The following is a 24,558-nucleotide window of genomic DNA, read 5'->3' on the forward strand; positions in this document are numbered from 1 at the left end:
AAGCCTCCCGACTGGGGTGGGGCAGGGGGCGGGGCCGCGGGGCGGGAGGCGCGAGCCCGGAGCGGCCCGGGTGCGGGGGACAGGGGCGCATCGCCGTCTCTGCACCCCCGCCGACCGCTCCGGGATGACAGGCTCCGGTGCCGACCCAGGTCCTGCGCCCACCAGTCGGGTGCAGCGCAGCCACCGCCCGCCGTCACCCCACCGAGCCCGAGCATGCCGGGAATTGTAGTCCTGCCTTTGTTAACCGGGTTCTGGCAGGTTGCTAATGCCTTTCCCGGTCCCCCAGTCCGGGAGGCGCCTCCCTCATCCGCATGCCACCCCTTGAGTGACTGCTGAGCTTGCACCACCTATGCCTGGTCCCTCCGAGCCACCATCCTCGGACACCCCCCTGCTCCTGCCTTTCTGCCTGCAAATGGGTGCGCGTCACCCCTCCCCGTCAGGGTGTCGCCAGGCCTCCGGGAACCGAACTCCTAAATGTTCCTTGACTCTGTCCTTTCCTCCCCCTGTCCCGGTCTACTTCTGGCCTTCCTCTTCTCTCTGCTGGAGCCCACCTTCCAGCTGATTCTCTCGCACCTTATGTCCGCACAAGCACCCGGGAGCCCCCTCGCTCCTCCTCCACCGCCTTCCTTGTGTGAAAGCCTCTCCATCTTCCGCCTTCGCAGCCTCACCGCCACTACTCCTCTATAGAAAAATCTGTGTTCCAGACAGCCATTTCTTCAGTTATCCAGCGCCTGCTGAGCCCCAGGCCCCATTCTAGGATCTGGGTCCTTCCTGTCCTCAAGCAGTGCACATTCCCGGAACCGTGTTTTGTTTCTTTAACTGGCTTTGCTGTGCAGCATCTTTGTGCTTTTGCCCAGAGGCCTGGTCACCCTTCGGCACTTAGTGCCCTGCCACTTGGGCAGTTCAAGCACCTCCTCCTCCACGAAGCCTTCCCTTAGCAATTTTTTTTTTTCTATAGTGAAAGAGGCACAGAATTTACCTAAGACAAAACCTGGATTGAAGTTCCAGTTCTGATGGCCATCCAATGGAGTGGCTTTGAGCAGTCACTCCCCTTGCTCCAGCCTTAGTTTCCTCATTTATTTTTTTAAAAATTCGAGGCGGGAAAGAAATAATTAACAACTACTTCATGGAATGGTTGGGAGGCTCAAATGAAATAATGAATCATGAAGTACTGTACCATGAGAAGTCCTGCCCTGGCTTGGATTGCCTGACAGCTCCTGCTTCCTTGAGTATCCTGGATAGACCATGTCTGTGCTTGGTGTTCCTCTATGGGAGTCTTAATCTTTTTTTTTTTTCCTGTAGGATACAAATAAAGTGTAATTCCACAAGGCCAAGGACCAAGCCAGAGTCCTATCCATGGTCCACTCTGCAGAGGGCAGTTGAGTCTGTGGACTGAGCCCAAGCTGTCTGTCTTTACTCTCCATATGAGAACCAGATTGAGAGGTGCTGTTATCTGAAACCTGGAGACCCTTCTTCACAGAGGCACCAGAAGAGTCTTTCCACAAAACATTTCCAAGCATGTTATCCTCTAGAGGACCCAATTGTTTAGTTTTCCAACTCAACAAAATTTACCTCCTTAACTCTTCCCCATCCCAGAACTTTAGCGTGAGCTGGACTAGAGGCTTGAGACTTAGCTGAGAGCTTGCCCGCTTCTGAAGCTCCCTGGCCTCCCTCCACCCTCTCCTTGATTAAGCTCCACTGCTTATGATTAACATGGCTTTTGGACCAATTACGGGGTGGGGTTTTGGCTCCGTAGACTAACCCCTCTTGGCTCTCACAACATGATTTCTGGATGGAGCCTTTAGTTCTTCAACTATTTTCTGGTTGCATTCGGCTTTGGGTTTTGAATACCCTTTCTCTGCTTAGGCTAATGTATCTGACACTACAGCGCTGGATAAAAGGGATTCTCACCCTGTTCTCCCCACTTGATGTCACCACCTGGCAGGGGACTTACCCAGATCCTCTTGTGTGAGAGGGAGATTGGAATCGCGTTGCTTACAAGATGTGTGATCCTAGGCCAGGCGCGGTGGCTCACGCCTATAATCCCAGCACTTTGGGAGGCCGAGGCGGGTGGATCATGAGGTCAAGAGATCGAGACCATCTTGGCCAACATCATGAAACCTCATCTCTACTAAAAATACAAAAATTAGCTGGGCATGGTGGTGCACGCCTGTAGTCCCAGCTACTTGAGAGGCTGAGACAGGAAAATAATTTGAACCCAGGAGGCAGAGATTGCAGTGAGGCTAGATGGCGCCACTGCACTCCAGCCTGGCGACAAAGCAAGACTCCATCTCACACACACAAAAAAAGATATGTGATCCTGGGGAAATTATTTAACTTCTCTGAACAGCTATTTTTTCAGTGGAATAAATGAGGATAAGAATGCTTACATTGACCAGGTGTGGTGGCTCAAGCTGTAATCCCAGCTATTCAGGAGGCTGAGGTAGGAGGATCGCTTAAGCCCGTAAGTTCAGGGCTGCAGTGAGCGATGATTGTACCACTGCACTCTAGCCTAGGGTAACAGAGTGAGAACCTGTCTCTGAAAAAAAAAGAGGGCTTACCTTACACATCAGGATTAAGTGAGATAATGTATGCAAAAACTCCTACGACATAGGAGGCACTCCAGAAATAGCAGTTTTCTTTTCTCTTGTCCTTTGCATTCAAGGCTGTTCACTTCAGCGTCTCCATTTTCACCGCTGTCTTCATTTTTCCTTCCTCTTACATACTCAAGTCTCCAGCCACTCTGATTAGCTTAAGTCCCCCAAACACACCCCACTTTTTTGTGTCTCCTTGTGTTTGCTCATGCTGCTCCTCTGCCCGAAATGTCCTAACTTTGTTTTTATTTCAATTAATTTATTTGAGAAGGGGTCTCATTCTGTCACTCAGGCTGGAGTGCAGTGGTATGATTATGGCTCACTGCAGCCTCAAACTCCTGAGCTCAAGCTATCCTCCTGCCTTAGCCTCCCGAATAGCTGGGACTACAGTTGCATGCCACCACACCTGGATAATTAAAAACAATATTTTTTTAGGCCGGGCGCGGTGGCTCACACCTGTAATCCCAGCACTTTGGGAGGCCAAGGCAGGGGGATCACAAGGTCAGGAGTTCGAGACCAGCCTGACCAACATAATGAAACCCTGTCTCTACTAAAAATACAAAAAATTAGCCGGGCATGGTGGTGGGCACCTGTAATCCCAGCTACTTGGGAGGCTGACGCAGGAGAATCCCTTGAACCCGGGAGGTGGAAGTTGCAGTGAGCCGAGATTGCACCAGCCTGGGTGACAGTGCAAGACTCTGTCTCAAAAAAACAAAAACAAACAAACAAAAAACAATATTTTTTAACATTAGCCAGGTCTCACTCTGTTGCTGAGGTTGGTCTCAAATCCCTGGACTCAAGTGACTCTCACACCTTGGTCTCCCAAAGTGCTGGGATTACAGACATGAGCCACTGCACTCAGTCTTCCTAACTGTGTCTGTTTCTGTCTACATAGCCTCAGCTTCTATTCATTCCACTGCTCAATCTCACATGACTGGCCCAGTGCGGTGGTTCACACTGTAATCCCAGAACTTCGGGAGGCCGAGGTGGAAAGAGCATTTGAGGCCAGGCGTTCGAGACCAGCCCCATCTCAATTAAAAAAACAAACTTATATGGCTTCTCCTCCCACTACGCAATAGAGACCTCTCTTACCAAGGACATCAGTGAGTTCCAGTGCCACCCTCTAGTGTCATTATAGCTTATGGCTTCCATTATTGTCTATATAGTTCCTAGATTTGTATCTCCAGTCCAGACCTCTCTTCTGAGTTCTAAACCTCTATATCCGACTCTGTAATGGACAGAGCCACTTTGGTGGCTCTCCAGGTACCTGAATTTCTACTTGTTCACACTGAACTCATTATTCTCCCCTCCAAAAATATTACCTAGCTCTGTAAATAGCACTTCCTTCAGTCTCAGTGTATCCATTTGAATACATTGAATCCATTTGAATACGAAATTCTGCCAACTTCCTGCGTATTTCTCAGATTTATCCATTTATTTTCTACTTCCATAGGGGCTATCATGACCAAGCCATCGTATTCTCTGGCCTGACCTCCTATAGTAGCCTCCAATCTGGCCTCTCTGAATGGGGAGATTCAGAGTCTGCTCTTACCCCTATGTATTCATTCTTCAGAAAGCAATCTTTTTGACTGGGCACGGTGGCTCACGCCTATAATCCCAGCATTCTGGGAGGCTCAGGTGGATGGATCACCTGAGGTCAGGAGTTCAAGACCAGCCTGGCTGATGTGGTGAAACCCCGTCTCTACTAAAAATACAAAAATTAACCTCGTCTCTATTAAAAATACAAAAAGTAGTGCACGCCTGTAATCCCAGCTACTCAGGAGGCTGAGGCAGGAGAATCACTTGAACCCTGGAGGTGGAGGTTGCAATGAGCTGAGATTGTGCCATTGCACTCCAGACTGGGTGACAAAATCGAAATTCTGTCTCAAAAAAACAAAACAAAAAAAAGAAAGTAATCTTTTAAAAACATCTATCTGGCCAGGCACAGTGGCTCATGCCTGTAATCCCAGCACTGTGGGAGGCCAAGGTGGGAAGATGGCTTGAGGCCAAGAGTTCAAGACCAACCTGGGCAACATAGTAAAACCCTATCTCTAAAAAAAATTTTGTTTTAAAAGCTAGATGTGGTGGTGCATGCCTGTAGTCCTAGCTACTTGGGAGGCAGAGGTGGGAGGACCCCTAGCGCCCAGGAATTCAGGGGTGCAGTGAACCATGATCATACCACTGCACTCCAGCCTGCGCGACAGAGCAACACCCTGTCTCTAAAATAAATAAATAAATAAGTGTAAAAATCAGCCGGGCGCTATGGTTCATGCCTGTAATCCCAGCACTTTGGGAGGCCAAGGCAGGTGGATCACCTGAGGTCAGGAGTTCAAGACCAGCATGGCCAACATGGTGAAACCCCATCTCTACTAAAAATACAAAAAAATCAGCCAGGTGTGGTGGCACAGGCCTGTGATCCCAGCTACTTGGGAGGCTGAGGCAGGAGAATTGCTTGAACCTGGGAGGCAGAGGTTGCAGTGAGCCAAGATCACACCACTTGCACTCTAGCCTGGGAGACAAAGTGAAACGCTGTCTCAAAAAAAAAGTAAAAGTAAAAACACCTATCTGATCATGTCACCCCATGCTTAAAAAGCTTCCAGGCCGGGTGCAGTGGCTCATGCCTATAATCCCAGCACTTTGGGAGGCAGAGGCTGGCGGATCACGAGGTCAGGAGATCGAGATCATCCTGGCCAACATGGTGAAACCCCGTCTCTGCTAAAAACACAAAAATGAGCCAGGTGTGGTGGCGCGCGCCTGTAGTCTCAGCTACTCGGGAGGCTGAGGCAGGAGAATCACTTGAACCCGGGAGGCAGAGGCTGTAGTGGGCCAAGATCGCGCCACTGCACTCCAGCCTGGGTGACAGAACAAGACTCTGTCAAAAAAAAGAAAAAAAAAAGCTTCCAGTGCTTCTCATTGAATTTTTTTTTTTTTTGAGATGGAGTCCCTGTCTGTCGCCAGGCTGGAGTACAGTGGCACGATCTTGGCTCCATGTAACCTCTGCCTCCCGGGTTCAAGTGATTCTCGCTGTCTCAGCCTCCTGAGTAGCCAGGACTACAGGTGCGCGCCACCAAGCTCAGCTAATTTTTGCATTTTTAGTAGAGACGAGGTTTCATCATGTTGGTCAAGATGGCCTTGATCTCCTGACCTGGTGATCCAGCCACCCTGGCCTCCCAAAGTGCTGGGATTACAGGCGTAAGCCACCATGCCCGGCCAGTTCTTACTGGTCTTAATGTAAACTCCACATCATTAACACAGTCAGCAACGCCCTGCACAACATGGCACCTGTGCACATGTCTGTCACATCACATGCCACTCTCCATCTTGCCCCTCGTGCTCTAGTTACAATGACCTTCTTCAGCTCCCTTCCAGCTTCCTGTCACAGGGCCTTTACACATTGTGTCTCTGCTTCTAGAATATTTATCCTCACCATCTTTGCCTAGATACCTTCTCTTCATCCTTTGGATTTCAGCTTGAATGTCCCTCCCTAAGGATATTTTTCTTGATTTACCAACCTAGGTATGTCCCTCTGTAATAGGTTCTCATCCTTCCCTGTACTTTCCTTCATAGAAATTAGTACAAGTATAATTAAATCATAATTTGTCCACCTCCTCTGGTCTGTGAGGTCATAACATGTCTGCTTTATTCATTTTTGTGATCACAAAGACTAGTGCAGCTTCCAGTACATAGTTTGTGCTCAATAAATATTTTTTCAAATAAATAAAGTCCCATATGAGCATCACCTCTTCTGGGAAGACTTATTTGACTCCCCTGACTCTACCAGAATTATTTTTCCTTTTGGCCAGGTGCGATGGCTCATGCCTGTAATCCCAGCACTTTGGGAGGTTGAGGCCAGTGGATCACTTAAGCGCTGAAGTTCAAGACCAGCCTGGGCAACATACTGAAACCCCCATCTTTTAAAAAAATTAATTAATTTGTAAAAAAGAAAAAAAATTTCCTCTCTTCATGTTGCTATAGCTCTCTGTTTAGCTAGACCCCTAGTACTCATCACAGTTTGACTTGTACTGTGGCTAACTGAGTCTGTCTCTCTCACCATAAAGTGTTGAAGACAAGGGCCATGTTTTTTGTCTTTGTGTCTCCTTTTCCCATACCCAACACAGTTCTGGCTGCAATTAAGGTAGTTAGTATTTGCCCGAGGGCGGTGGCTCATGCCTGTAACCTCAGCACTTTGGGAGGCCAGGCCAGTGGATTGCTTGAGCTCGGGAGTTCGAGACCAGCCTGGCCAACATGCCAAAACCTCACCTCAACAAAAAACACAAAAATTAGTCAGGTGTGGTGGCATGTGGCTGTAGTCCTAGCTACTCAGGAAGCTGAGGTGGGAGGATGGCTTGAGCCCAGGAGGCAGAGGTTGCAGTGAGCCAAGATTGCATCACTGCACTCCAGCCTGGGCAACAGAGAGAGACCCTATTTAAAAAAAAAAAAAAATATATATATATATATAGTTAATATATTTATTATATAATATTGTTATATAGTTAATATAGTTAATATTGGCCATTAAGCAAATGAATTAATTTTTTTTTTTTTGAGACAGAGTTTTGCTCTTGTTGCCCAGGCTGGAGTGCAATGGTGCGATCTCGGCTCACCACAACCTCTGCCTCCCAGGTTCAAGTGATTCTCCTGCCTCAGCCTCCCAAGTAGCTGGGATTACAGGGATGCGCCACCACATCCAGCTAATTTTTTGTGTATATTTTTAGTAGAGACAGGGTTTCTCCATGTTGGTCAGGCTGGTCTCGAACTCCCGACCTTAGGTGATCCACCTGCCTCGGCCTCCCAAAGTGCTGGGATTACAGGCATCAGCCACCGCACCTGGCCATGAATGAATGTTTAAAGACCTTCAAGGCAAGAATAAATAAATAAATAAATAAATAAATAAATAAATAAATAAATATGTATTAAAAAGGCCGAGCGTGGTGGCTCACGCCTGTAATCCCAACACTTTGGGAGACTGAGGTGGGCGGATAACAAAGTCAGGAGTTCAAGACCAGCCTGGCCAACATGGAGAAACTCTGTCTCTACTAAAAAATACAAAAATTAGCCGGGCGCCTGCAATACCAGCTATTCGGGAGGCTGAGGCAGGAGAATCGCTTCAACTCAGGAGGTGGATGTTGCAGTGAGCCGAGATCGTGCCATTGCACTCCAGCCTGGGCAGTAAGAGCGAAACTCTGTCTCAAAGAAAAGAAAAAAAAACCTTCAAGGCAAGAGAATGGAAAGGTGAGACAAAGAAATCACAGTAATAAACCCTTAGATTTGTAGTGTGATTAACAGTTAATAAAGTATTATCACATTTGTTACTCACTTGATCTTCACATAAATCCCAGGAAAGGAGAAACTATTAATATCCTCACATTATAAGGAGGACCCTAAGCTTCAGACTGATTAAGTGACTAAGAAAGGAAACGCAGCCAAGTGGCACAGTCTACAGACTCCAAACCTGCAGCCCTCCTAGTGTTTCCCCTGTGCTACGGGGTGAGCTTCCTATGATGGTAAGGTACAGATCAGTTGCTTCCCAGTCCTGGTTTGAATGACAACTTCATTGAATACAGACCCGTCACTGGCTTGGTGGGAGGAAGAAGCTCCTTTGCTGCATTTCCTTTGATAATGAAAGTTCTTGGCAGGGCGCAGTGTCTCACGCCTGTATTTCCCTGCATTTTGGGAGGCCAAGGCAGGCAGATTGCTTGAGGTCAGGAGTTCAAGACCAGCCTGGCCAACATGGAGAAACCCTGCCTCTACCAAAAATACCTTAATTAGCCAGGTGTGGTGGTAGGTGCCTGTAGTCCCAGCTACTGAGGAGGCTGAGGCAGGAGAATCGCTTGAACCTGGGAGGCAGAGGTTGCAGTGAGCTGAGATTGCGCCCCTGCACTCCAGCCTAGGTGATGGAGCGAGACTCTGTCTCAACAACAACAACAACAACAAAAGTCATTTTTCCACAGGGGATTCCCGTTCCACCACCTTCTTCCAGTGTGGTCCCAATGACAGCCACAGTAAGATTCTACAAAGAAGACAGAGTTCACTCTTTGGTAATCCTGGGGTCTACAAATGTTCAAATACAAGTAATTCAGGTTTGGATTTACCCTACAAAAACCAAGTTCTGGCTGGGTGTAATGACTCACACCTGTTATCCTAGTACTTCGGGAGGCTGAGGCAAAAGGATCCCTTGAGCCTGGGAGTTTGAGACCAGCCTGGGCAACAGAGGGAGACCCTGTCTCTAAAAAAACAAAACAAAAAACAGGCCAGGTGCGGTGGCTCACGCCTGTAATCCCACCACTTAGGGAGGCTGAGGTGGGTGGTAAATCACCTGAGGTCAGGAGTTCAAGACCACCCCGGCCAACATGGCGAAACCCCGTCTCTACTAAAAATACAAAAATTAGCCAGGCCTAGTGGCACGAGCCTGTAATCCCAGCTACTCAGGAGGCTGAGGCAGGAGAATCACTTGAACCTGGGAGGTGGAGGTTGCAGTGAGCCGAGATCGTACCACTGCACTCCAGCCTGGGCGACATCTCAAAACCAAAACCAAAAACAAACAAACCAAGTTTTGCCAGCAGAGGGAGACATGACTATGTGACAGAATTACTGGATGAGCTCCAATTTCTGGGCTATCAATCGTTATGCAATTACCTAACTGTATGAGTTATTACCTAACTATAGGAGTCTACCAAATGTGTCCAAGCTTGATTTCTCATTGTGCCTCTTTCCTCTGCAGCTTCCTGTCTACAATCTCTGCTGTAATTTCTGGTGAACAGGATTTGTCAACCTAAATAAAAAAATCATAGAAAAATCTGAAAATTAAGACTCTGGATATTATAAAAAGAACAGTTCATAGTTGTTCCCCTTTACTGAGAACCTAATGGGTGGGTCACAGATGTTTTATCTAATCTTCACATTCACTTACCTGGTAAGTGGCTGCACTGGAACTTGAGCCTAATTCCTCCCACTCGAAAGACAGTGTTTTTCCTACCACCCTGTCCTAAGCCCTGAGGCTCAGCCCTCAATCCACCTCTATCTGGTCTAACTCTACCTTCCTCTTTCAACACTACCTGCCTCCTCCAGACCTAGGGGCCTCTTCCTTTCCTTACCTTCTGGGGCAATTTGTACGATGTGCAATTACCATCTGCTTTTTTAAATGGTGCTATCCATCCATCTATGAATATATTGTGTCTCCCCAACTCGAGTTCTTCTAATTTGCTATAAGTAAGTGTCTTGTTCCAAAAGTAATTTAAGAACATTTTTAAAAGAGTTTTGACCAAACTCTATATAGAATTGTCTCAATTTTGTTTTAAAGCATCGTACATGTTGACTCCTCTTCCTCTTACCCTAAATACAATTCATCAACAAATGCTATCCCGGTTCTACTTAGAAAATCTGTTGATCCTGATTCCAAAACTCTCCATGCTACCACCACTACCCTCTTAGTCCATGCCCCCTACATCTCTCACCTGCACGCTGCAGTAGTATTTTAACAGGAACCCCTGGTTCCACCCTTATCCTCCTACTCTTCCTCTGCGACAGAACAGCTAGAGTCTTCCTTCAGAACTACATATCAAATCATCCTACCTCCTCCTCTCCATCCTCCAATGACGTCTCATCCCTCTCAGAACGAAATCCAGGCTGGGCGCACTGGCTTACGCCTGTTATCCCAGTACTTTGGGAGGCTGAGGTGGGCGAATCACCTGAGGTCAGGAGTTCAAGACCAGCTTGGCCAACATGGCAAAACCCTGTCTCTATTACAAATACAAAAAATTAGCCGGGCATGGTAGTGCATGCCTGTAATCCCAGCTACTTGGGAGGCTGAGGCAGGAGAATCACTTGAACCCGGAAGACGGAGGTTACAGTGAGCCGAGATCATGCCACTGCACTCCAGCCTGGGTGACAGAGAGAGACTCTGCCTCAAAAAAAAAAAAAAAAAAAAAGAAAGAAAGAAAAGAATGAAATCCAAAGTCCTTGTTGGGGCACGTACACTGTACTCTATCAAGCTCCTGGTCCCTTCTCCTGTATCATGTGTTCCTATTCCCCCCTTCCCTACTCTCATCCAACAACACTGGCCTCCTTGTTCCTCAGTCCTGCCAAGCACCTTCCAGCTTGAGGGCCTGCGCACTTGCTCTTTCCTCTGCCTGCAAGCTCTCTCTCCCAGCGTCTCACTCGGCTTCCCTCCTTCCTGTCATTCACTTGTATTTGCAAATGTCATCTCCTCAGAGAAGCTTTTTTGTCCGTGCTTCCTAAAATACTTCTTTGTCATTCCCTATATCCTTACTCCATTTTGTTTTTCTTCACAGCACTTACCACAATATGACATTCTAGATATTTCTTTATCTGTTTATGTTTTCTTCTTCCCATTAATGTGCAATGAGATAATTTCTCCCAGTGCCTAGAAATATGCCTGGTTCAGGCCCGGCACAGTGGCTCATGCCTGTAATCCCAGCACTTTCGAAGGCTGAGGCAGGCAGATCATGAGGACAAGAGATCGAGACCATCCTGGCCAACATGGTGAAACCCCGTCTCTACTAAAAATACAAAAATTAGCCGGGTGTGGTGGCGGGCACCTGTAGTACCAGCTACTTGGGAGGCTGAGGCAGGAGAATCACTTGAACCCGGGAAGCGGAGGTTGCCATGAGTCGAGATGGCTCCTTTGCATTCCAGCCTGGGCGACAGAGTGAAACTCCGTCTCGGGAAAAAAAAAAAAAAGAAATATGCCTGGTTCATGATAAGACCCCAGGAGATATTTGCTTAATGAATAAATGGTGAATTAAGCTATTAATAGTTTTCACAACTATCTTTTTTTCTTTTCCTTTTTTTTTTTTTGAGACAGGGTCACACTCTGTCACCCAGACTAGAGTGCAGTGGTGCAACCACGTTTCACTGCAGCCTTGACCTCCTGTGCTCAGGTGATCCTCCCACCTCAGCCTCCCAAGTAGCTGGGACTACAGCACCACGGCACTCCGCTAATTTTTTTGTTTTTTATTTTTTGTAGAGATGGGGTTTCACTATGTTGCTCAGGCTGGTCTCAAACTCTTGGACTCAAGCAATTCGCCATCTTTGGCCTCTGAAAGTGTTGGGATTACAGGTGTGAACCACCGTGCCCAGCCACAACCATCATTTTGAATGGCTGCTTAACTTAATGTAATTTTTTTTTTTTTTTTGAGACAGATTTTCGCTGTTGTTGTCCAGGCTGGAGTGCAATGGTGCGATCTCGGCTCACCACAACCTCTGCCTTCCGGGTTCAAGAGATTCTCCTGCCTCAGCCTCCCTATTAGCTGGGATTACAGGCATGTGCCACCACGCCTGGCTAATTTTGTATTTTTAGTAGAGATGGGCTTTCTCCATGTTGGTCAGGCTGGTCTCGAACTCCCGACCTCAGGTTATCCACCCGCCTTGGCCTTCCTAAGTGCTGAGATTACAGGCGTGAGCCACCGCGCCCAGCCTTGGTAAATTATTTTGTGTGTGTGTGAAATACTGGGTTGAATCACATGAATTCTCATTTTGTAGGTTAATAATGACGGCATATTGACTTCAGGCCAGATCGCCGGATATCAGCTGAGTGACTCTTACAAGTCCTTCTAGATCCTGAAGTGGATTAGGTGCCGCAGTTGCTGCTCGTGTTGAATCCAGAACCGTAGCCAGACATAGGACTGGAGGACGAGCGAAAGATGCTGACCGAGTCTGGAGATCCTAAGGAGGAGGAAGAAGAAGAGGGGGAATTAGTGTTTCTACATCAGGATCCCCTAACAACAGTGAGAGAGCAATGCCAGCAGTTGGAGAAATGTGTAAAGGCCCAGGAGTGGCTGGAGCTCTGTGATGAGTGTGTATCCTCTCAATCACATACAGAAGAGGATTGCACGGAGGAGCTCTTTGACTTTTTGCATGCAACGGACCATTGCGTGGCCCACAAACTCTTTAACAACTTGAAATAAATGTGTGGACTTATTCCCCACAGGCTTCATCACCTGGGCATCAGGATATTTCCTTATGGTTTTGGATATGCCATTTGTTTCTTATTTCTGTAACTGTAAGTTCACATGAACCTCATGGATTTTGGCTTAGTCTGGTAGCTTCTGTGTAATTCGCAGTGATTTCATCTTAATAAAGTTCTGTGATCTGCAATCTGCAAAAAAAAAGAAATGACTGCATATTGGCAATTACACATAGTTTAATTGAATAAAACACATTCAGAAAGGTGCATGGTACATAAACACACGGCTTAAAAAAGTATTATTATTTGAGACGGAGTTTCACTTTTGTTGTCCAGGCTGGAATGCAATGGCCCAATCTCAGCTCACTGCAACCTCTGCCTCCCTGGTTCAAGCAATTCTCCTGCCTCAGCCTCTCAAGTGGCTGGGATTACGGGTGTGCGCCACCAGGCTCAGCCAATTTTGTATTTTTAGTAGAAACAAGGTTTCACCGTGTTGGTCAGGCTGGTATCGAACTCCTGACTTCGTGATCCTCCCACCTCGGCCTCCCAAAGTGCTGGGATTACAGGTGTGAGCCACCATGCCTGGCTCAGAATTATTATAAGACAATATCCATGTGCCCATTATCCAGGCCAAAAATAGGATATTGCCACCATCCTAGAAGCCCCCTGCAGGATTTTCTGCTGTCAGGAATTCCCCCTTACTCGTTAAAGGTAACCACTATCCTAGCTTTTCTGGTAATTCTTACCTTTTCTTTGTTCTTTTATCAACTAAAGATTATGGTTTTGGTTTGCCTGCTTTTGAACTTCATGTAAACTTATATAGTGTGTATTCTTTTGTACCCGGCTTTTTTCTTTTTATTTTTCCTTCCTTATTTATTTATTTATTTTTTTTTTATTTTTAGTAGAGACAGGGTTTTACCATGTTGGCCAGGCTGATCTCGAACTCCTGGCCTCAAGTGATCCACCCACCTCGGCCTCCCAAAGTGCTGGGATTACAGGTGTGAGCCACAGCGCCCAGCCATGTACCTAACTTTTTTCTTTTCTTTCTCTTTTTTTTCTTTTTATTTGAGAGATTTATCTGTGTTTGTTTTATCTATAGTCCATTCATTATTACTATATAATATCCTATTTTATGAATATACTACCCATGATCGGCTCCTGATGGACATTTGGGTTGTTTCCACTTTGGGATTATTACAAATTATGCTGCCATGAATATTCTTGTCCATGTCCCCTGTGTAAGTTGAACACATTTCTGTTCGGTATTGTCTTAGTTGGTTCTGGTTGCTGTAACAAAATACCATAGTCTGGGCAACTTATAAACAGTAAACATCTATTGCTCACAGTTCTGGAGGCTGAGAAGTCCAAAATCAAGGCACCAGCAGATTTGGTGACTGGTGTCCTGCTTCTTTCATAGATGGCACCTTCTTACTGTGTCATTATATGCTAGAACAAGCAAAGAAGTTCCTTCAGCCTCTTTTATTGTAAGGGTGCTAATCCCATTCACGGGGGCTATGACTTCATGATCTAATCACCTTCCAAAGGCCCTACCTCTTAATACTGTCACCTTGGGGGTTAGGATTTCAACATATGAATTTTAGGGAGACACAAACATTCAGACCATAACAAGTATATACCTAGGAATGGAATAGCTGGGTCACAGAGAATGCATTATTTTCAACTTCAGATAGTGTCAAACTGTTTTCCAAAGTGGGCATAACAATTTGCACTCCCAGCAGTGCATGAGGTCCAGTTGCTTCACATCAGCACCAATACTTAGTAATGTCATTCTTAGTTTTAGATATTTGGTATCTCGTGCTTTTAATTTAGGTTTCCCTGATAACAAATAAAATTGAGCACTCTTTCATATGCTTTTTGGCATTTCCATATTTTCTGTGAATTTCCTGTTCAAGTCATTGCTCATTTTTTGACTCAGTTGCCTGCCTTTCTTACTGCTTATTTTGGATTTCAGCCTTCTGTTGCTTATATGCATTCCAACCATCATCTCTGTGGCTTGACTTTTCATTCTGTTCATAGTGCCCTTTTATAGCCAGGATTTCTTAATTTTAATGTAGAAACATTTATCAATCTTTTATTTGGCTTGGCACTTTTTGGATCTTGCTTAAAAACTCTTCCTGTACCCCAAGGTCACAAAGATATTCTTGTATATTGTTTTCTTTTTTCTTTTTTTTTTTTCCTTTCTTTCTTTTCTTTTCTTTTCTTTTTTTTTTTTTTTTTTTTTTTTTTTGAGACAGAGTCTCACTCTGTCACCCAGGCTGGAGTGCAGTGGCACATTCTTGGCTCACTGCAACCTCCACCTCCTGGGTTCAAGTGATTCTCCTGCCTCAGCCTCCCCAAGTAGCTGGGACTACAGGTGTGCGCCACCACGTCTGGCTAATTTCTGTATTTTTAGTAGAGATGGGGTTTTGTCATGTTGGCCAGGCTGGTCTCAAACTCCTGACCTCAGGTGATCCGCCTGCCTCAGCCTCCCAAAGTGCTGGGATTACAGGCATGAGCCACCGCGCCCAGCCAAACTTTGCTCTTTCTTAAATCTCAGAGTGGGACTGCCAGTGCCAGCCTGGCATTCCCTCTTGAAATCATCACCTATTTCAGAGGAGGCTGCTACAGTGGGAAGTCAGGACAACAAGGTTGGGGCCAAACTCTGGTCTCCCAGGCATTTCACCTTAATAGGAAAAGTGCCTGAATCTGTCCTCCTCATTTGGCTCATGTGCAGAACAAGGCACAAAGCCCTGCGTCTCCCGGCTGCCTGTCCGATGCCCTTTTCCCTGACTCACCGTCAATCAGCAGTCAGACCAAGGTCCCTGACTCACCGTCAATCAGCAGTCAGACCAAGGTCCAGGCTCTTGCCTCCTGAAATGTTGCAAGGGCGGTTTCCCAGTGTGATTCACAAACAGCAAGAATGTTTCAGGCTGACTTGGAGACCACTTGGGGGTGGTATCCTCAGCCAGGAAGCTTCCTCAGGGCCTCTGAGTCCCAGAGAGCTCTATTTGTCTCTTTCTTTCTTTTCTTTCTTTTTCTTTCTTTTCTTTCTTTCTTTTTCTTTTTCTTTCTTTCTTTCTTTCTTTCTTTCTTTTCTTTCTTTCTTTCTTTCTTTCTCTTTCTCTTTCTTCCTTCCTTCTTTCTTTCTTTCTCTCTTCCTTCCTTCCTCTCCTTCTTTCCTTCCTTTCTTTCTTTTTCTTTTTTTCTTCCTTTCTTTCTCTTTCTTTGCCTTGCTTTTCTTTCTCTCTCTCTTTCTTTCCTCTTTCCCCCTCCCTCCCTCCCTTCCTTCCTTCCTTCCCTCCCTTATTTTTCTTTCTTCCTTTCTCTCTCTCTTTTTTTTTTTTTTTTTTTGAGACAGAGTCTCGCTCTGTCGCCCAGGCTGGAGTGCAGTGGCATGATCTTGGCTCACTGCAACCTCCAACTCCCAGCTCACTGCAAGCTCACACCATTCTCCTGCCTCAGCCTCCCCAGTAGCCGGGACTACAGGCGCCCGCCACCACGCCCAGCTAATTTTTTGTGTTTTTAGTAGAGACAGGGTTTCACCGTGTTAGCCAGGATGGTCTCGATCTCCTGACCTTGTGATCCGCCCACCTCAGCCTCCCAAAGTGCTGGGATTACAGGTGTGAGCCACTGCGCCCAGCCTCCTTTTTTTTTTTTTTTTTTTTTTTTTTGAGATGGAGTCTCACTCTGTCACCCAGATTGGAGTGCAGTTTCGTGTTCTTAGCCCCCTGCAACCTCCGCCTCCTGGGTTAAAGTGATTCTCTGGCCTCAGCCTCCCATGTAGCTGGGACTACAGACACATGCCACCATGCCTGGCTAATTTTTGTGTTTTTAGTAGAAACAGGGTTTTGCCATGTTGGCCAGGCTGGTCTCAAACTCCTGGCCTCAGGAGATCCACCCGCCTTGGCCTCCGAAAGTGGTAGGATTACAGGCGTGAGCCACCGCGCCCGGCCTCTTTCTTTTTCTTTCTGTTTCTCTTTCTTTCTTTTTTTTCTCTGTCTCTCTTTCTTTTTCTCTCTCTCTTTTCTTTTTTCTTTTCTTTCTCTCTTCCTTCCTTCCTTCCCTCTTTCCTTTCTTCTTTCTTTCTCTTTCTTTCTTTCTTTCTTTCCTTCCTTCCTTCCTTCCTTCCTTCCTTCCTTCCTGCTTTCTTTCTCTCTCTCTCTCTCTTTTTCTTTCTTTCTTTCTTTCCTTTTCTGAGACGGAGTTTTGCTCTCATTGCCCAGGCTGGAGTGCAATGGCGCGATCTCGGCTCACCGCAACATCTCCCTCCTGCGATTCTCCTGCCTCAGCCTCCCAAGTTGGGATTACGGGCATGTGCCACAACACCCAGCTAATTTCGTATTTTTAATAGAAACAGGGTTTCTCCATGTTGGTCAGGCTGCTCTCAAACTCCCAACCTCAGGTGATCCTCCTGCCTCTGCCTCCCAAAGTGCTGGGATTACAGGTGTGAGCCATCACGCCCAGCACTCTGTTTCTTTTTCTTTCTTTCTTTTTTGACTTTGGACGATCTTGTCACCCAGGCTGGAATGCAGTGATGCAATCATAGCTCACTGCAATCGCAAGCTCCTGGGCTCAAGTGATCCTCCTGCCTCCACCTCCCAAAGTGCCGGGATTACAGGCGTGAGCCCCATGCCCAGCCCCAATCTCTGCATTTCTGAGAGCTCATAGCATCTTTCATCCAGGGCCCTCGTACCACCTTCTTTGCTGTTATCCTCATGTGTGGTATTGTTTCTCCAACTGTGAGCAACTCCAGGTCAGGGAACACCCATGGATTTCCTTGCCTAGCGCTAACCCTGGATACCAATAACCCTCAGTAGCTGTGAGATTGAGCCATGAATTTTATGGAGTCCCTAGGCATTCTGCAGCCTGTATGGTTAGAACCACACTTGGAGGAAGGCTTCCAAGATGGTCCAAAATGAACACCTGTGACCTGGCTGTTTGCTGACCACTATCACAAGGAGTGATAAAGGAGCCTGGCAAACTCACGAGCCTGGGTTGAGTCGATTTTTAAAACCCAAACCTGGGCCAGGCGTGGTGGCTCACGCCTGTAATCTCAGCACTTTGGGAGGCCAAGGCAGGTGGATCACTTGAGGTCAAGGGTTCCAGACCAGCCTGGTCAACATGGCGAAACCCCATCTCTACTAAAAATACAAAAATTAGCTGGGCGTGGGGGTGCACACCTGTAATCCCAGCTACTTGGGTGGCTGAGCCATGAGAATCACTTGAACCTGGGAGGTGGAGGTTATAGTGAACTAGGATTGTGCCACTGCACTCCAACCTGGACAACAGAGTGAGACTCTGTCTCAACAAACAAACAAGCAAACAACCCAAGCCTGTCTCACTGGCAAAGGCTCAAGTGTCCTCTGAATTAGCTGCACCCAAAGACCATGCTCACTGCTATGGAGAAGTGAATCCCCCTAAAGGAGATCCTGTCTGTGGGCTCTGAAGGTTTAGAATCTAAACAGAACAACAGCTGGTCAATGCTGGGAGCAGAGCAGCCCCAAGAGCTGGGAGCAGGTCCCCAGTTGGAGTCAGGAAACCCTAGCTCAGGCCTGGCTCAGCCACAATATGCCGCGTGATGCTGGACCTCTGATGCCGGGACTCATGGTGACTTCACCCCTCTGAGCCTGTGCCCTTATATGCCCAGCAAGGGGCAGCCCTGCCCAGCCACCCACACAATGATGGTGTCAGGAGCAAATGACACAATACAAATAAAAGTACTTTGAAAATCTTAAAGTGCAATAATGACACAAAAGGTTATTAGAAAGAGAAGCTCTATGAGATTAAAGGGGCAGGTCTCTAACACTTGTCAAGGTAATTTACTCAGTAGTAGGAACAATGCCTTATTTGTTCGGTATTTGATAATTTACAAAGGGTTTCTAGATTCTTTATCTCCCCTGAGCCTCATAATAACCCAGTAAGGTAGGCAGGGCCGGATTGTTCTCTTTGACCACTGAACAGGGGAGGAAAAGGAGGCTTAGAGAGGAGACATGATTCTCCTGAGGTCACAGAGCTGGGACTGAACGCCCCTCCCCCCCCCCTTTTTTTTTTTTTGAGTCTCACTCTTGTCACCCAGGCTGGAGTGCAGAGGTGCGATCTCTGCTCACTGCAACCTCCACCTCCCAGGTTCAAATGATCCTCCCACCTCAGCCTCCTGAGAAACTGGGATTACAGGCACGCACCACCACGTCTGGCTAATTTTTGTATTTTTAGTAGAGACAGGGTTTCACCATGTTGGCCAGGCTGTTCTCCAACTCCTAAGCTCAAGTGATCTGCCCGCCTCGGCCTCCCCACATGCTGGGATTACAGGCGTGAGCCACCACGCCCAGCCCCCCACCCCCTTTTTGTAGTTCCCCCATGCTCCTTATGATGGGCCATTATGGTGCTACCTCTGTTTCAGCTGCTGCAACCCCATGGGGCAATTTCCCACAAGACCTGTGTGAACATATCCTACTAGGCCCTGGAACCCCAGTAAGGCCGGACCGGCAGGGAGGGAGGGAGAGAGGGGCTGATCTAAGGAGCAACAGGAAATTATCAAAAGGTTTTAAGCAGAGAAATGATATGATCAGGGTTATGTTTTTAAAAAACTACTCTCCTCCACCTCCTTCTTCCTTTCCCACTCTTTCTTCTCTTCTCCTGTTCCCCTATTCTTTCTCCTTTTCCTCTTTATTGTTCACTTATGTTATATAATTCCCTAGGAAAGAAAGCAAGCAAGACTCTGGGACCTTCTATTGCCAGAACCCGTGGGCGTTCAGCCAGCTGGAGCCCTGACTGGTTGGCTCCTTACACTGTAGGAGGCCAGTGTTTTGCCCAGAATCCGGGGACCTGCTCAGAGACTCCCCTCTCCAGGAGTAGTCCTGGGAGTGGCATGCTCCAGGATCAAAGCCAAGGACTCAGAAAAGGAGGATGAGGTGACAGGCATGTTCCTGGGGCTGCTTGCCCCTGGAAAGGCTGGCACCAGGCCCCTGGGGGCCTCTCTCACCCTTTGGGAAGGGCCTTGGCTCAAGAACTGCCTGAAGTGGCCCAGAACCTGAGACCCTGGCAGGGTGCCCTTCTCCACTGGGTGCTTGCCATTCAGAGTTATGCACTCCCTGGGCCACTAGCAAATAAGCACGTCCTGGGGTGCCTCTTCTGGGCTGTCTGCCCCCTTTCCTCCCCAGTTTCCTTTGGCTCCCAGCCCAACTTCCTTCCCATTTGTCTGTGTCCCACACAGATCACATGCCTGGCAGCTGGGCCCCAAGTCAGAGGCTTTGGGGAGGATGTTAACAGAAAAAGTGAACATATATGCTTGCATGCATGTGCATGTGTGTGGCACCTTGGGTGGGAGAAGTAGATGCTGCCTTTACAGAGAATCTTTAACTCATCAAACTTGTTCAATATTGTATCCCCAGTATTGGGGATATAATAAGTAGTCGGGACCTAACAAATATTTGTTGATGTAAATGAATGAATGAACAATGAATGAATGAAATAAGATTACAACTGAAGAGTATCTGTTGCCTGGCTATAGCAACAAGAAAATCCTTGGAGACACTGCTAACCCGTTTCTAAGGTGTGTCAGCAGGGTGGGCCTGGTGTTGACGATGGAGGAGTGTATAGGAGGTGAGCTAGGGGGCACGGGCGGCTTTTAAGGAGTTTGGAGTGAGGAAAAGGAGTCTGGAGGGGCCAGGGCAGCAGAGAGGATGGCACAGCCTGTTTGAGCCTGAAAGGAGGAACCCCAAAGAGAATGCCATTGGCCAGTAAGGCCTTCTGTCATCCTCATCCGGCATTGCTCATTCTCTGAACTTGACCTTGTTGTTTCCCCTTCCCAAATGAAAATCAGTCTCTTCTTTTGCTATCCTTGAACACACATCCTACGCCTTGCTGACCCCAGGCCTGGGGTGACCGGGGTCCTCCTTCACCCAGTTCATGGCCTGGAGACTCTTTGGATGCCCTGTCCAGCTGGCATGCCCTGCTCAGCAGCTTCCCGCCCCACAGGATTCTCAGGGCACTCCAGCTTCTGCCAGGTCTGCCCTCCCTACACGGAAGCAGAAGAAACAGATGCAGAGAAGAACAGAAGGAAGACCACGTGCCCTGAAGTTACAGAGGGAGGAGCTTCCAGTTTGGACTTTCCAGTTCCCCATCTTGAGCTAGCATGAATAGGCTTCTGCTGCTTCCAACCAGATGATGCCAGACTCACAGCTTGGACTTGATTTGATTTGAACCAATTCAAAATGTAGCCACCACCCACCTTAATATCCCTACCCTAGACCGGCCTCTCACTCCCAATTACCCTGTTCCTGTCACCATCACCAGCATTTGGAGTTACATTTTCCTCACATCCTTGTTCCCGTTCTCTGTGAGGCACCTCTTACCTTCCCATCCCCCTCCCCGACAGTTCCCACTGTCCCACTCCATACCTTCTTCAGCCCAAGCTCTCATCTCAGCACCAGCTTCCTTTCCACATCTGACTCCAGGGTCTCTCTTCTCCATCCCATTCAGCAGATCACCACCACTACATCATTTATTTTCTTTTTTATTTTTAAAAATTATAAACGACAACCAACCAACCCTACCTATGTATAAGGGTAAAAAAATAATAATAGGCCGGGCGCGGTGGCTCACCCCTGTAATCCCCGTGCTTTGGAAGGCCGAGGTATGCAGATTGCCTGAGGTCAGGAGTTCAAGACCAGTCTGGCTAACATGGTGAAACCCTGTCTCTACTAAAGTTGCAAAAATTAGCCAGGCGGGGTGGTGCATGCCTGTAATCCCAGCTACTCGGAAGGCTGAAGCAGGAGAATCGCTTGAACCTGGCAGGCGGAGGTTGCAGTGAGCCAAGATCGTGCCATTGCACTCCAGCCTGGGCAACAAGAGCACAACTCTGTCTCAAAAAAATATAAATGGCTGGGCGCGGTGGCTCGCGCCTGTAATCCCAGCGCTTTGGGAGGCCGAGGTGGGTGGATCACGAGGTCAAGAGATTGAGACTATCCTGGCCAACATGGTGAAACCCCGTCTCTATTACAGATACAAAAATTAGCCGGGCGTGGTGGCGGGTGCCTGTAGTCCCAGCTATTCAGGAGGCTGAAGCAGGAGAATCACTTGAACCCAGGAGGTGGAGGTTGCACTGAGCTGAGATTGCGCCACTGCACTCCAGCCTGGCGACAGAGTGAGACTCCGTCTCAATAAATAAGTAAATTAATTAATTTAATTAAATTAATAATAATAATAACAATAATAATAATAATAATAATATGAATGGTTGGGCGCAGTGGCTCATGCCTGTAATCCCAGGACTTTGGGAGGCTGAGGTGGACTAGCCTGGGCAACATGGCGAAACCTCATCTCTACCAAAAAATATATACATATACAAAAGTTAACTGGGTGTGGTTACAGCTGTAGTCCCATCTACTCAGGAGACTGAGGTGGGAGGATTGCTTGAGCCAGGGATATGGAGGTTCCAGTGAGCCAGGATCACATCATTGCGCTCCAGCCTGCGTGACAGAATGAAACTCTGTCTCAAAAAAAAAAAAAATGATGAATTACATCATGTATGTATTCAGAAGTACATACAAAACATATCAGCATAATTTAGAATGAATGTATGTGGGGAGCTAAAACCATCCCCCATGTTAAGAAACAGAACACAAGGCTGGGCGCAGTGGCTCACTCCTGTAATCCCAGCAGTTTGGGAGGCCAAGGCAGGTGGATCACAAGGTCAGGAGTTCAAGACCAGCCTGAGCAACATGGTGAACCCCCGTCTCTACTAAAAAAATACAAAAAATTAGCTGGGCGTGGTGGCACGTGCCTGTAGTCCCAGCTATTCAGGAGTCTGAGGCAGAAGAATCACTTGAACCTGGGAGGCAGTGAGTGACAGAGCAAGACTACGTCTCAAAAAAAAAGGGCTGGGCATGGTGGCTCACGCCTGTAATCCCAGAACTTTAGGAGGCTAAGGCGGGTGGATCATGAAGCCAGGAATTCGAGACCAGCCTCGCCAATATGGTGAAACCCCATCTCTACTAAAAGCACAAAAATCAGCCAAGCGTAGTAGCACGCGCCTGCAGTCCCAGCTACTTAGGAGACTGAGGCAGAAGAATCACTTGAACCCAGGAGGCAGAGGTTGCAATGAGCCGAGATCGTGCCACTGCACTCCAGCCTGGGTGACAGAGTGAGACTCTGTCTCAAAAACAAAAAAAAAGAAAGAAAAAAGAAACAGAAGTACTCATTATCTTCTTTAAATGTCTCATTTAAATTGTTCAAGCATGGCCAGGCGTGGTGACTCACACCTGTAATCCCAGCACTTTGGGAGGCCAAGGCAGGCAGGTCCCTTAAGCTCAGGAGTCTGAGACTTGCCTGGGCAACATGGCGAAACCCCATCTCTAAAAAAAAAAGAAAAAAAAAAAACCCACGAAGTGTTCAAGCACCTTTGGTGACTCCCTGTTTCCTATTCTAGCTTCCCTAGCCTGTTTTTCAGTCAGGCCCCATCACACTGGCCTTGGCGTTCTCCTCACTGCCTCTTCCACCCCACCTTCACTCTGGCCATTACACTTCATCTAAGAGCACAGGATCAGAAACATAAAATCTGTCTTCCAGGCCCCTCTTTGTCATTTATTAGCTGTCTGAATTCAAATAGATTGTTTAAGCTTTCTGAATTAGTCAGTACTCTTTTGGTAGCAAGTAACAGAAACCAAATTCAAACCGGCTGACGTAAATGAGGAGACGTAATGGCTTATCTCAGACAAATTTTAGGATAACTCAAGCTTCAGGCACAGCTGGATCTAAGGACCCGAACCATGTCACCAGGAAATGGTCTCTTGGCTGTTTTCCTCTGGGTTGGTTTTATTATCATCCCCCATTGTTTCAGCAAAGGTTCTTTTTTTTTTGGAGATGGAATCTTGCTCTGTCGCTTTGTTGCCCAGGTTGGAGTGCAGTGGCACGATCTCGGCTCACTGCAAGCTCTGCCTCCCGGGTTCATGCCATTCTCCTGCCTCAGCCTCCTGAGTAGCTGGGACTACAGGTGCCCGCCACCACGCCCAGCTAATTTTTTGTATTTTTAGTAGAGACAGGGTTTCATCGTATTAGCCAGGATGGTCTCAATCTCCCGATCCCCTGATCTGCCTGCCTCGGCCTCCCAAAGTGCTGGAATTACAGGCGTGAGCCATCGCACCCGGCCAGGTTCTTTTTTTGTTTTTTTGTTTTTTTTTGAGATAGAGTTTCATTCCTGTCTCCCAGGCTGGAGTACAATGGCGTGATCTCAGCTCACTGCAACCTCTGCCCCCCAGGTTCAAGCAATTCTCCTGCCTCAGCCTCCCAAGTAGCTGAGACTACAGGCGCCTGGACCACCATGCCTGGCTAATTTTTGTATTTTTAGTAGAGACGGGGGTTCACCATGTTAGCCAGGCTGGTCTCGAACTCCTGACCTCAGGTGATCCGCCCGCCTCGGCCTCCCAAAGTGCTGGGATTACAGCTGTGAGCCACCATGCCCAGCCTCAGCAAAGGTTCTGACTGTGAGTCTCATTGGCCTACTTGAGTCACATACCCATTTCTGGAGCCCTGGCCAGTGGTAGGCCAGGCCTGGTTATGCCTACCCTGGAGTTTGGATGGAGTTAGACCCTGGTTGGTGTGAGAGTGAAGAGACAGGCTTTTCCAAGGAAAACCAGGGTTCTAATTGCAGAAAAAGGGAAAAGGGATGTTGAATAAACAACATCAACAGATACTCTCAGTTCTCACTTTCCTTGTGAGTGGGAATCTCTCTTCTGCCAAATGTTCAAGCCTGCTGAGAAGATAAAAAAAAAAAATTAGAGATATGAAGTTTCATTGAAAACTTTAAAGTTCAACAAAAATGGAAGTGATTTTGAAGAAGATAATCTCTTTGACTTGCCTCCAACTGTTTACCTGTCAGATGCACTTTGTCTAGCCAAGCCTACCCTTCCTTCAGCCCCCAGCCCAGTAGGAATTGGACTTTTTCCAGCACCTAGAGCCTCTTGGGTACCTGGAGACCTTCTCAGCATTTAGATGGGCCACATAGTTTAGCATTTAATTAGATATGGACTGGGCCTGGTG

The 24,558-nt window shown here is 47.4% G+C and overlaps 1 pseudogene, besides 2 other annotated features; it reads left to right on the forward strand.

The window, feature by feature from the left end:
• Positions 15 to 184: a silencer, noted in NCBI's record as "silent region_11266". NCBI's record gives its function as "represses an Ori minimal core promoter by ATAC-STARR-seq in GM12878 lymphoblastoid cells {active_cell/tissue: GM12878}" and the evidence as "EXISTENCE:reporter gene assay evidence [ECO:0000049][PMID:35858748]".
• Positions 9,237 to 9,286: a silencer, noted in NCBI's record as "silent region_11267". NCBI's record gives its function as "represses an Ori minimal core promoter by ATAC-STARR-seq in GM12878 lymphoblastoid cells {active_cell/tissue: GM12878}" and the evidence as "EXISTENCE:reporter gene assay evidence [ECO:0000049][PMID:35858748]".
• Positions 12,164 to 12,710, forward strand: UQCRHP2 (ubiquinol-cytochrome c reductase hinge protein pseudogene 2; annotated as a pseudogene).

This window comes from Homo sapiens, chromosome 2, assembly GCF_000001405.40.
Source record: "Homo sapiens chromosome 2, GRCh38.p14 Primary Assembly".
In the NCBI taxonomy this organism is placed as follows: Eukaryota; Metazoa; Chordata; class Mammalia; order Primates; family Hominidae; genus Homo; species Homo sapiens.